This window comes from Homo sapiens, chromosome 5 (assembly GCF_000001405.40).
Source record: "Homo sapiens chromosome 5, GRCh38.p14 Primary Assembly".
In the NCBI taxonomy this organism is placed as follows: Eukaryota; Metazoa; Chordata; class Mammalia; order Primates; family Hominidae; genus Homo; species Homo sapiens.
Window position 1 is genome coordinate 165,245,362 of NC_000005.10, and position 13,970 is coordinate 165,259,331.

Genomic DNA, 13,970 nt, shown 5'->3' on the forward strand with positions numbered 1-13,970 from the left:
GTGCAAGAGAAATACCCAAGCAATTTATATAATTAGAGGTTGACAATTCAAGGGAGGAATCCCAGCTATAAATAAATATTTGGAAGATGTCAGCATGTAGAGCACTACTGATCCATTCTCTGGAAAATATGTAGAGTGAGTTGGAAGAAGTATAATAGATTTCTAAGCATAAGAAACATTTAAGGACTGGGCAAAGAAGTAAGAGATCCTCTCCCTCTAAAAGCAGAGATTCTGAGATGAAGAAATTTAATGGTATAAGAAAAATCAGAAAAGTTAATTTGGGGGGGGCAGAGAAGGAAAATAAACATAGCTTAATATTCAGAGAATTCAATTACATAAATCCTAATACATTTTGGCTGAAAAAGGGTTTGCCATTGGCATGTTCATATTTTGATAGAGAAAACAGGCAAAGGTCACTGGTGTTGAGGAAATGGTGAAATAGAAGTTTGGGTGTTGGTTGGGCCTTCTGCATGGATGTTGAAGTCAGCCAGGATGACTGCAGAACATTAGGAAGAGAAGTCTCTCAGCCAAGACCAGAATAATCCGTGCATGGGAGGAGATAGAAGTTAGAAGGAAATATCCCTAGTTGCCTGGCTTTCTCCTACTTCTGCTAACAGCCCTCAACCTCAAGTGTTACTTTTTAGGGAAGTCTCCCCTCAACCCCACAACACTAAGTTGGGCATCCCCTAAAAGTCCCTGTGGTGTCACTTAATTACCCCGTTATATCCTTTAACAACTCTGCACTAAAGTGGAACAGTTGGCTTTCTCTCCATGAGTCTATTCGCTCCTTTAGCTAACTTCAAGACTATGCCTGTTATTTCTCATCTGTTTAGCACTGTACTTGGCACATAAAAGTCTCTTCAAAAATGTTTGTTGATAGAATGAATACATGAAAATATAAATAAACAGGAGGAGTGTGGAGGGGCAGGTTATCAAGGAAGCAGTGGGGTTTACTCAAAGATAGAGGAGTACTGAGGGAGAACAGACTGCAGCTTCTGGCCCCCCTGTAAGAAGTCCAACAATGCCAGGTTTGCTGGTGCTGACAGAAATACCCTAGCCTAAAATTGTGAACTTCGATTATTTCTGTGCACAAAAAATCTAGTAAAACTTAAGCTCCCAAAAAAATAAAAAAGGGTATCACTGGAAAATTCAAGAGAACACATTTTTTTTTTCAGGAAACATAACATGTAAACCCATCCTCTTTTACTCTTCAAAGTTTTTTGAGTAAAACAAGCTGTCAAAAATTAAATAGAATTGTTTTTAGTCTCATTATTTGACATGTTAGGGAAAGGGTATGGAATAAGAAAAGATGGAACATAGTAGAAAAGGGCCAGAAAATAAAGGAAGATAAAGACCTAGGAATAAATAAAAGGATATTGTCTAGTTAGTGAGATCAAACTTGGTATGATAATATTTGCTGACCTTCTATTCTGTACTACACACTACATTCTGTATTTTCACTGAAAATAAGGTTTCTCTGTTTTTAGATTAATCCTGCAAAGTAGGCATTATTATGCATGAGAAAAAGATTTAGAGAATTTATAATTTGTTCAAACAGATAAATGCTGCAATTGGGATTCAAATCTAGCAGCCCCTACCCCGCTTTTCACTACATGGGTGTTACATTGAGGTGTTATCCCTCAAGAATTTGAAATGAAAGACAATGTCTGAAAACTGTGTGAAGAGAGATTCTGTGTGTGTGTGTTTGTGCACATGTACGTGTATATATGTATATGTATGTTTATACATCTATCTATATGTATCTATGTATTTGTGTATCTGTCTATCATCTATAAGAGAGGGATTATTTTTGGTCAGCAAAAAACTCTGTAGACTGAGCAGGCAAGGATTATTGCAAATACTGCCTGTGCCATGTTAAGAGCACCATTTTCAGAATTGTCTCTGGATGGAATAAATCATCATAAGCAGTGGGATTGTACTTTAACTGCTAGTATGAAATTTTTTTAAAGGTCATAATATAATTTGAGAATATAATCTCATTATGGGGCAATATTTCATCCTCATATTTATGGAACAAATATATAAGATTTATTTCCTCTTTTAACTCTACATATGTTAGGTGGTAATATTTTGAGGCCAATGAATTATAGTTTAAAAAAAATAGCAGACTTTAAGATCAGTAGAAATTCCAAATTTAGATTTAAATGTATTTTAAATAAAAGGATCTTTTTTAGAATATGTAACTTTTTAGTGTACAAGATATGTTGTTATGTTTGCTGCAACTTGGGTAAGAAATAAAGATAGCTATAAATCAAGGTAAAATGAAATATATGACCAAGAAGAATTTTAATTATATTATGTAACATTTTTATTGTGTCTTGTTTTGGTCTTACATTTGCTAGAGAATTTTTAATATTTACACTGACATTTTTGAATACAAATTAAACTGCTGAGGAGTTCTGGAGGTTCATCGTGTCTTGGGGTCTTTTACTGTGTGGAGACTTCCCTTTTGACACTTAAAGAGAGGAGAGTTGACTCACTAATAGAATCACCAGTTCTGGTTTTCCAACATAGTTTTGGAGGTCACAAGGTTACAGAATTCAATTTCCTTGATGTCAGTCTCAGTCCATCATTGCCCACATGGACTCACTCCTTGTTTTGACCTTTTTGTTTTCTTTTCTGGGAAGGAAGAAGAAGTATGCTACTTAAGTCAGTTGGCTTAGTGAATGTTTTCATGTTTATGTTAATCAGAATGGGAATCACCTGTGATATCTATGGTTCTAAAAGAATAGAAATAAATACTAAAGCATCACAGATTTTATTTTATAAGTTTATCCTGTGTGCTAATATTTGAAAATTTTTTTCAGGTTTGACTAGCTTTCTCTCTACAATTAATTACATGCAGACATAAGGATGTATTGATGATATTTGCTCAAAGATTTACTCCTTAATTTTAACTGGCTTTTAGTTTAATATCTACTACATTAAAATATATAATAATTCTCTATTATATGCAATATGCTGTGGGTAAGTTCAGGGTGGAAATCAAGATATATGAGCCAGGTACTTAGGAGCAACTAATTCCAATTTAGGAATCATGGAATGAAAGAGAAAACAAATCCCTTCTTAAAAGAGTCTCAGGGTTTCAATATGTAAAGAACAGGCATAAGGAATAGCAAGAGGCTATACAGAGATCGGTGGGGATTTGTTCAGAGTCTAACATGCCTGGAAGGTAGGCCAGTGGGCTGTGAGAGGGAGTAGAGCTAGAGTGGACATCAGAGAGAAAAGGACCAAAGACTGAAGATAAAATTGGTTACATTTGTCACTGGAAGCAATTGTATCTCTTTGGCTTGCCTCTGAATGCAACTAAATAGTAGACACCTGTCATGGATATATATATATATATATATTTTTTTTTAAAGTACCTGGAGTCAATACTTAAGGTATTGAGCTGCTTGCTTAAAGAATAAATCAAGCATCCAGACATGTCCATCTCAGGAGAATTGTATTTAAAACACCCTTTAAAAAAATCTATATTGATATCTATCTTCTTTGGATCTATATATGGAATTTTTTGTTTGGGTTTCATGTTTAGTTTTTAATCTCATAACATATATCAAGTTCAATTTTTGGTTTTCTTACAAGGTCTTGAGAGATACTGAATTGGTGATTTCAGATATTATTGGTTTGGGAAGGTCCATTCTAAACTGTAAAAATATATATAATATTTTGCTGACACAGTTAAGTGACCTGCAGAGTCAATGTCTCAAATCCTTCTCATTCTTCATCTATCCTCCCATCTCTGAGGTCAGCCCGCTGACTATGTGATTGAAATCAGAGAAACCTCAGGTAATCTATATTGGAGGCAGGTGTTTTATTTAACCCTGGATGATTCAATCTTATATGACTTGGTTAGATGACAATCACTGAACCATGAAATGCCATGTATCTCTGTGGCTATTGTTTTATAAATAAAATCATTGAAGAGAGTTTCATTATAGTAAGAGCCACTGTGTGAGATGTATCAGAAAAATAAGTTGATGGACCATAGACAGGCAACTTTTATTTAAAAAACAAGCAAAAAACCCCTTATTTATACTCATCCCAATTTTGCTGCAGTTTCTATTATATTAATAATTATTTTATAGAAACGTTAACTAGAAACAAATAGTCCTTTAAATCACAAGCATATTTAAAGGTATACCGAATATTCATATCATTAGCAGACGGTGCCATACAGCGAACAAATAAGCCTTCCTTTACACAGAACTCTTTATTTTAAAATCTTTTGATAACAGAAGTGAAACAACAATAATTCAAAGTGTTGGGCTTTGGGAAATACCGAGGTGACATTTTGGATGCATGTGGCTTAAAAGGGAACTCAAATACAAAGACAAATTCTCTTTATCTGTCCTGATGTTCTGGCTAAGAGATTAAATTGAATATTGAGTCTAGAAAATGTGAACGTGCTGTTTTAATGATGAAAGAAAAAGAGAAAGAAAACAGTATAAGTACTGATTATCTAGATGACAGTAAGATGTGGATATCTTTACATCTTTCTCTAGGGCGTAATAGTTGGAAGAAAAAAATAAGGCAAAAATATGTCAGGGTTGATTGGTATTATATACAGAAATACCGGAAGAATATATAATGAGGCTGAGAATATGGAACTAATGAAGAAGTGTTACAAGAAAGAAAAAGGAAGATTGGTGTGGGAAACTGGAGGTGAAGTAAGGAGTAGTCAGTGAGGCGATCAGACAATTTCTGTAACCCTCCAGGCCCTGAACACACAAAGGAGCCCAATTAGAAATAAACGAGCTAGAAGAAACATTTCATAGTAAATTGGGGATTATCAGTTTGCCTAAAGGGAATGAAACCAGAGCATTGGAGCCTCCTTGTTTCAGAACCACTTGCTTTATGTTTCTTTTTTAAGATTGACACCAATGTTCTTGCTTTTCATATTATAAATTTTTAAAAATCATGTATAAAACAAATTAACAATTGAAGTTTCTGATTTTTGAGAGAGAATTTATTTTCAACTGAATCATGGATACAAAAAGATTTGAAAAGTATTTGTCTCATGTTTTATCTTTTTTGTCCAGACTGGGTCACTGTCATGTCCTTTGGGCATTCTCAAATTTCAGACTTTTTACTTTGAATTTAGCCTGCACCTTCTCCAGATGTAGGTAACATATATCTTACATGTATAGGAATATGGTACTTGGTTTTGACTTGGCAGAATATAAGCAAACAATTTAAGGTCATTTCTGGATGCTTAAATAAATTGAAAACACAATAATAGAAAAAATGGATTCTTTTTAAACAGAAAAATGAACAGTACATAGAACCAAGATGCTTTTTTTTCAGTGTCGTTCAGCATATCAGTTCTGGCCTCTGGTTAGTCATTAGATAAGTCTAGGCGAACACAAATTATTATTATCTTTGTGAAATGAAGGACCTCATGAATGAGAGCAGTGGAGTTTCTCATCCGCCACTGAAAGATATATATTTTTTCATTTTCTCTACAATATATTTCAAAAGACGAAGTTTTGTATGACCATCTATTCTGGCATCACTGGTTCTTCCACAGCAGCCATGAAACACAAAACGTTCAACCTTTCATGGCTATCTGATTTTCTGGAGGTAAGACTGGCATCTTCCATTTTAAGATACCCAGTTGTCTACCCTTTACATACCAGAGGGCGATCTAGGCAGGATTTGAAGGATTATCTGCCAGGTATTAAAATGATTAGCCGGGCAAATTTATTCATTCATTCATTCTACAAATATTTGTTGAGCACCTGGTACTTGGCTGTGTGCTTAGGGACAAAACCCCAAATGCAATACTTTCTCCAGCCTCCAGGAAATCACAAGTAAGCAAATAATCACAATAGAGTGTGATAAAGGCATGATGAAGGAAGCCTGGAGGGGAGGGGTCACTAGGCAATTTAGAGGGGAAGGAGAAAGTCAGAGCAGGATTCCTAGAAAAATAGACTTTTGTACTGATCTTTAAACAGCAAAGAGAAAAACTGAAATCGACTATTTGAAGGTGGGGTTTTTTTTTGTTGGTGAGTAAGGTTAGAGGTAGTGTTTCAGAAGGAATTTCCTTCATTGTTAATTTAGTAAATATATATTGAGCAACTATTACATTGCTTTGCTGGGCCGTGGGCAACAAATGATGAACAGGTCAAAAATGTTTGATCCTGCCTGCAACTCTCATGCTAATGGGAAGACAGACAATATGCAAGTAACTACAGTAAGAGCTAATATTTATCAACTGCATACTATGTGCCAGACACTGTTCCTAGGCTTTATTGAAAAGCACTAATTTGAACCTTACAGCAACCCACTGCAGAAGTTCCTGTTATTTTTCAGTAAATTGGAAAACAGTGACATGCAACTAATAGAATGATAGGCTGGGGTTCAAAGCTAGTCAGCCTGGCTTTGGAGTTAATGCTTTCAAGTACTGTGATATATTGCCTATCAAAGTAAGTAAAGGATATATAATATCACCTTAGGTGTTGGTAAGCAATATGAGGAAAAAGAAAAGTGGAAGCAGAGAGAATGGCTGAGGGGAAGGTGCTGTTCTAGAGAGCAGACACTGTGGGCACCCTGCACGTACCCTTGGGTTTGACCACTTCGGTAGACTCAAAACAACCTCCACCTGCCGGTAGCTACATTGTCTTTATGAGCTTTTTCTGATGCCAAAAAGATGGTGGCTGTAGTCTCTAACATGATGGAGCTGAAGTAAAGGGGAATTAACACCTCCCAGAACAGTTGTCACCTTTCAGATAAGCTTTCATGGCTTTACAAATATCCCCAGCGTCATCACTCTCAGAAAAGGATAACTCCAAAGCATGGGTTAGACTGTTTTCTGGAATTTTCCTGCAGATGGAGCTCCACTGGCCCACAGTGGTGGCAGCTGCTGTAAATGTGCAGTTTCTATTGGCTCTGTTCCTTGCCTGTGTCACTTCCTCCCTCCCCTGCCAGTGTTTTCCTTGACCTCCAAAATGAGCTGTTTATACTTAAATCCTAGTCTCTCAGTCTGCCTTTGGAAAAACCTAGATGACGACTGGCTGGTCAGGAAATATATCTCTTAGAGAAATTGGGGAAAGTGCATTCTAGGTAGAGGAAAAGAGAAAGGCACTAGCAATAAGTCCGCTGTGGCTGGCTAGAGTGGAGTGAGGAGGGTTAAGTAGGAAATGAGCTTGCTAGAGGGGTAGGAAGGACTAGGTAGGAAAGGTCTTTTTAGGTTATGGGTAGTAGTTTGGAAAGCAAAAAGAATAGCACACTGTTCTATATGAAACAAGAAAAAGAGGCTGAAAGAGAATTAACTCTAAAACAGACTCTAGAGAAGATCTAATCTGGGCCTTTCTTTTTATAGATGAGGAAAATGAGGCCCAAGGGGTTTAAATGACTTACCCAGGTCACCTTCATAGGAACAGAAAAAAGAAAGGTCTTCTACCCAAATATGTATCCCAAATCTGTCTGATTCTCAATCCACACTAAAGAGAGTCATGTTCATTTTAGACGCTTATCGTAAGATTAACAAGTGAAAGAGAAATGCATAAAAGAGAAATAATATTATTGAGTGCCTCATTAGAATGAATCAGCAGCAAACCAGCAATATCTGTTTTTTGGTTGTTGTTTGTCATTGCTGTTTTCTTTTACCACTAGTTCTTCACGTTCATTGCTTCTAACTCCCACCATGCAAGACACAGCAGCTCTTTGCACTTTCCCCAGCAAGGGGTGAGTGGGCAGAGCTGCAGGTGCTTTCCATCCTACTGAATTCCACGTGGGCACAGGCAAGGCAGGTCTGGAAGCCAGGCCAAATTTCACATGGGCATCTGCGATGAGGAGTTTCTGCTCTATAGGGTCCCTAGCTCAAACCCTGTCATTACTGTGGATTCTAACACCTGCCAGTAAAGGGGTACTTGATGGCAAGAGGTAACTCAATCACTAGCTTAAAGCACTCTATCCAAATAGTAAGTTTGGTGGATTGAATCTGTGTGTGACTCTGTTTTCAGAACTAAGCAACCACATGATGAATTCATTTGGAGTGTTTGTTGTTTACTGCATAAGACAAGATGAATTCTAGTAGTGCCAAAGGGAGGGATTGAATCATTTATTAAGTACAGTCTTGGACAGGTGTCTCAAATGTCAATTCTAGGATTTAATCTAAACTAATCTTCAGAAAAGTTAGATTTAATGGAAATGAGAACCCAGAGGAATTCGAAGTAGAGGTAGCTGGATGCTAAATCTCAAACGCTGCTGCTTGTGACAATCTTTTAAATAAACTTTCTACTTGGCTCTTATCCTTCTGTGTTCTGAGGTAGAAAACGTTTGGAAAACTGATGCTAGCTCATCGGTAGGTAGGATTTATACAAAACAAGTTGTTTTCTCTTTATTTCTGATGCTGGCATATAGTCAGTTATTTGCAAATAAGCTACATGGTCATATCTGAGATCAGACCACAGAGATTTTGGCCTCTGTAGGTGTCACTGCAGAGTTTATACATATAGGATATACTTATATCCTGCTAAAGTAGGTCATATTTTCTGATCACAAATTATGAAGCCACAGGCAGAGTTTGAAATTGATAAGGAAAAACTGCCTAAATGGCTACCACTCATTATATCTAAATATTGGCAGGTCAAAAAAAAAAAAAAAAAAAATGGGAGTTATCTATCACTGAATGCAATTTGGAAAATAAGCTGTAGTAGTTGTCTCATCTTCAAGCCACTGTATTTCTAACTAAATAATAAAAATATTTTAGTCGTGGATAATATTTTTGCCATATGCGTGTGCATGGGTGTGTGTGTGTAAATTTAAAAACCTTGGCTTTCAATACCACAGAATTAAATGCATTTTGTGAATGTATTAATCCAAATTAATTTCTCAGAGATGGTATTTGAGAGTGCTTGCTGGTGGCTCTTATAACACTGGAAGTATCTATAGCATGTTTACTTTTTAATATTGGAGAGAAAAGGGCTGAAATGAAAACAACTGCTACTGATGACCTATTCCATGCTATAAAATCCAAAGACTATTTGAAGAGACAAATTATTACCAAGAAGTTCGAGTAGAAAAAGTATAGTTGAGGTGAATTTAAAAAAAATATGAAAGAAGAGCACTACTCAGATAAGGAAGCAGACCGAGGTGCAAGAGCATTAAATAAAACAGTGAAGTCTATTTAGTTGCCAGATAAAATTTCTAGGTTCTGCAGAAGTTAACAAATAATTTATTTCTTTCCTCTCTCTCCCCTTTTCCTTTCCCTCTCCCTCCTTTCCTTTTTCCTTTCTTCCTTCCTTCTTTCATTCTTTTCTTCTTCCTTCTTTCATTCTTTTCTTCCTTCTTTCATTCTTTTCTTCCTTCCTTCTTTCATTCTTTTCTTCCTTCCTTCTTTCATTCTTTTCTTCCTTTTTTCTTTCTTTTCCTCCCTCCCTTCCTTCTTTCCTTCCTTCCTTCCTTCCTTCCTTCCTTCCTTCCTTCCTTCCTCCCTTTATTATTTCAGATATATACATTCTGATAAAATGCTTTATTTTCTAGAAGGGAATTCGTAAACTTTTGCTATAAAGGCCCAGATAGTAAATATTTTCAGCTTTGCAGACTTTTATAATTACCATTGCAACTATTCAGCTCTGCCACTGTATTCTGAAAGTAGTTCTAGACAACAGTAAATGAATGTGCATGACTGTGTTCCAGTAAAACTTTATTTACAATAGGCAGCAAATTTAGATTTCATCTGAAGTTTGCAGTTTTCCAATCCTTTTTCTAGAAGGCGATCTATTATACACAATTACCCCAAGGTGAGTTTTTTCCATGAGCAGCAGGAGTATGAATAATATTTTCTGGTGCAATATTCAAAGTATGGGCTGATTTATTATATATTTTATATATAATATATGTAATATGTTAAATATTTTCAATATTCAAATATGGGATGAATTATTTATAAATAGTATGTTTTTAGGTACTGTGTTTTGTGTTTCATGTATACAATCTTTCCTAATCCTGAGGACAACACCTTAAATTTGGTATAATTATCCCTATTTTATAGAGATGAAGCAGTGTTAAAAAAAATTTGGACGAGTATGTATAGCTTTAAAGAGTCAATGTTGGAATTTAAAATCTTTGCCTTTTCCAAATATTTGTGCATGTGTATATGTATAGAATCTCTATGTAATGAAAAGAGAGTATACCTCAAAGAACTCGTAACAGGCCGGGCACGGTGGCTCACGCCTGTAATCCCAACACTTTGGGAGGCCGAGGCGGGCAGATCATGAGGTCAGGAGATGGAGACCATCCTGGCTAACACGGTGAAACCCCGTGTCTACTAAAAATACAAAAAAAAAAAAAAAAAAAAAAAAAAAAAAAACTCATAACAGTGAGAATATAGGCAAGCAGGAAATAAAATACAACATAATGGGAGAATTACTTTACCTTGATTTCAAACGCTCTGTGATATTCCCTCTTAAGAAGGATTTATTTATTACCATCTCAGTTCCCCTTTCTTCAAAACATACCTGGAATTCAAGAAAATATCAAATACCAGGGTTTCTTCAAAAATTATGTATTTATGTTTAGTTGATGAATGATAACTGTCCATATTTATGTGGCACAATGTGATATTTGGATATATGTTATATATTGCAGAAAGATTCAATAGAGCTTGAATGAGCTATGAATTAACATATTCATCAGCTCATCAACGTATTGTGTTTTAATGGAGAGAATGTTAACCATTTTTAACTGAGGACAGTGCCCCCACCAGGGAAGCATTTGGAAGGGTGTGGTGCTTTGGGCTGTAGCAGTGGCTGAGTGTGGTGATGACACTGGCTAGACATTTTGCACGAAGTCATGGGAGCTAAAAATCCTTCAATAAGAGGGACAGTGGCAGCCAATGAAGGGTTGTCTTACCCATAATTCTAGAAGTCTGCTACGCTTCTGTGCTCATTTAAAACATTAGAAAACGACAACAAAAACCAGAGTTGTTAGTTTGTGGTAGCTCTTGTTGATTACCTACTTAACAGCCACGTTTTGCTTCTTCCTTGCTAACATTTTTTTATCTTATTCAGGTAGCAGTTAGATGTCAGTGATCTCAGGAATACTGACCCCTCCCAAGCTGCTGAGGATGTTTTTTGTTTTTTCTTTACTTTTAATCTAATCACAGCTACTCCCACTCCATTCTGCCAGTGATTAGGATTAGACAAGAGCATCTAATTCTGTGTTGGGCTAATAGATATAAAAGAAAGCCTAGTTAACAGCTTCTTAGAAAACTTTCCCTCCTTGATAAAAAGAGAAAGTTGCACAGGAAAACATTTCTTCCTACTTTCTTTTTTCTGATTTGGGCATTATATGAGAATTTCATGTTAGGAATTGCTGCAGTAGTTTTCAACTGTGAGAGAAAAGCCAAAAGAATCTCAGTGAAACCAAACCAGTATCTGACATTATTGAGGCCCTGAATTAATCCCAGGATGGCCCGTCCTTGTGTGTCTATTATATATGAAAATATCCCTACATCGTAGGATGTTTTCAGTTAAGCATTATTTTAGTTTCATCCGAAGATATTTGAACTGCCACATAGGAGCTGTAATTTCTATTCACCCAGGGTCAGAAAGGTAGACACCAGGAGCAGGGCCCAGATAAATATTTTTCATCTTCGACTCACAAAATGTTGACTATGACTTGGGAATACCTCTGAGTACCCACATTCAAGTCAAAGCAAAATGCATATCTATTAACACAATTTGGAAGGAAAAATTATTTAATCTCAAAATGATTTGATAACTTTGTGACTAGGAAAACATAAAGTATCAAATGCATTACGTTACTTGCTTTAGAAAACAACATCCTGACGTGAAGTAAACTGTTCTTCTCAGGGCTTAAATTAGTACAAGTTATTCTTTCTGTAACTTTTTAGAAATCTCTGAAGGAAAATAGTAAGAAACAATAACTACTCTTTCTAAAAGATCTGCTAACTCTTACTCAAATGAAAATAATTGAGATTACTAAAATACAAATTTTATAGAGACTAATGTGGAAATGAGACAATCAGTAATTGGAAGGCTTATAAATTTAGGTGCATGGAACCACCTGTGGGCAAGAAGGTAGAGGGAGGAGAATGGGGATATCATTGGTCAGAAAGAGATTAAAAAGGAAATTTGATTATAACTTAAAATCATTCTGTCCCTTGCATTCCCACTAAAATGAATATGCTTTCTTTTTTTGTTTGTTTTGTTTTGTTTTGTTTTGTTTGTTTGTTCATTTGAGACAGAGTTTCACTCTTGTTGCCCAGGCTGGAGTGCAGTGGTACGGCTCACTGCAACCTCTACCTCCTGGGTTCAAGCAGTTCTCCTGTCTCAGCCTCCCAAGTAGCTGGGATTACAGGCGCCAGCCATCATGCCTGGCTAAATTTTGTATTTTTAGTAGAGATGGGGTTTCACCATGTTGGCCAGGCTGGTCTCAAACTCCTGACCTCGTGACCTACCTGCCTCGGCCTCCCAAAGTGCTAGGATTGCAGGCATGAGCCACCACACCCAGCCAAATATGCTTCTTTAAATAGGATTAAATTGTAATATGTTGATACTTTTAATCTATTTATGTGTTCCATAGGTTATATCTATGGATATGTGTTGAATATATGGAAGGAAAGTTTTTTAAAAGTTCATATTAAACTCATTAGTCCAATAGAGGAAAGCTGGTAAAGTTTGGGGGAAAATATAAATTGGGCTAGGTTGTTTTTGGAGCTCTTCAATGCCTCATTTCTATTACTAAATCAAGTTTGAAATGTATCTGAATTGTAATAGTCTTCTTTTGTCTTTTTTGAATGTCAGTCCTTTTGGTGGTATATGGCATCACATGCATGCTTAATGCTATTAGAGCTTTTTTTGGACATTTGGGTGTGGGAGGGACAATAAGCATTTGCAATAGAATCTTTGTCTCCGTGACTTTTCCAGAGCCATCTGGATTCCTGCATATTCTCTACATGTCAATTCGGAAGGAGAATTAGATAATAAGTAGATAAAAGGATGTAAACATGCAAAGGAAAAGGAAGCACTCTCTTGTTCAACTCCCCCAGTAGAGCTGCTTTCTGATTAAAGCGCTAATATATGGCAATGGGCCTGTGAAGTCCATGCAGAGGCATGAGAGAGCTTGGCATCATCAAACGAGCGTATCAGTTCTGCCTCCTTCTGTCAGCAGTAACTGAGCAATCCAGCCTGGTGATTGGAAGAGCAAATTTTCTTTGTCCTGCACATGCTGTATTTATCCTTCATGAATATCCACAAAACTCAGCAGGGATTTGGCTAGGAGAGTAGGATCACTCCTTGCAGAAAAACTGGTAATAAATCTGGAGGCTTTGTACAAGATCTGAAAGCTGCCTTCACAATTTGCCGGAGGAGGCATGTATAGCCAGGAGTTAAGGAGATTATGTAAACCAAGGAGGAGAATGGGGGGAACTTGGCAAGACAAGACCTAAGTCAGAATGCTCTCTGCATATTCTCTTAGCAAGAGGGAATTAGAGGTTCAGAGTGTTGTCTGGGTGTATAACTTTTTCCTTCTATCACTGGAAGTCAGATAGGTGGTTTGCATGCTCTTTGTTTTCCCTTGAAACATAGAAATGTAAAGGAGATGCTTTATCTCTAATTTGGACAGTGTGGTTTAAAGGCCAGTTTCTATTTTGCACATTTACCTTAAGTATTGCTCCATGATCTTTATTTACAGTGTCCTCTATTCACTCTTGTTTGTTGTTGTTGTTGTTGTTATTGTTTAATTCTTCTCTTTCTCCCAATACTTTTGAAAATATGCTTTGGACAGCGATTCTGGAAATGAGATTTCAGAGTGTGTTCACAGGAACATCTACATTTGTATCACTCAAAATGCTTATTTTATAATGTTAGAAGCCTGGCCACCACTCTCTTCCCCCCATCTACAGAGAATTTGAATCTTGTCTTGTGGAGCTCATAGACCTGCTGTTTTAAGGAATTTTCTGGTGATCCCAATACAGA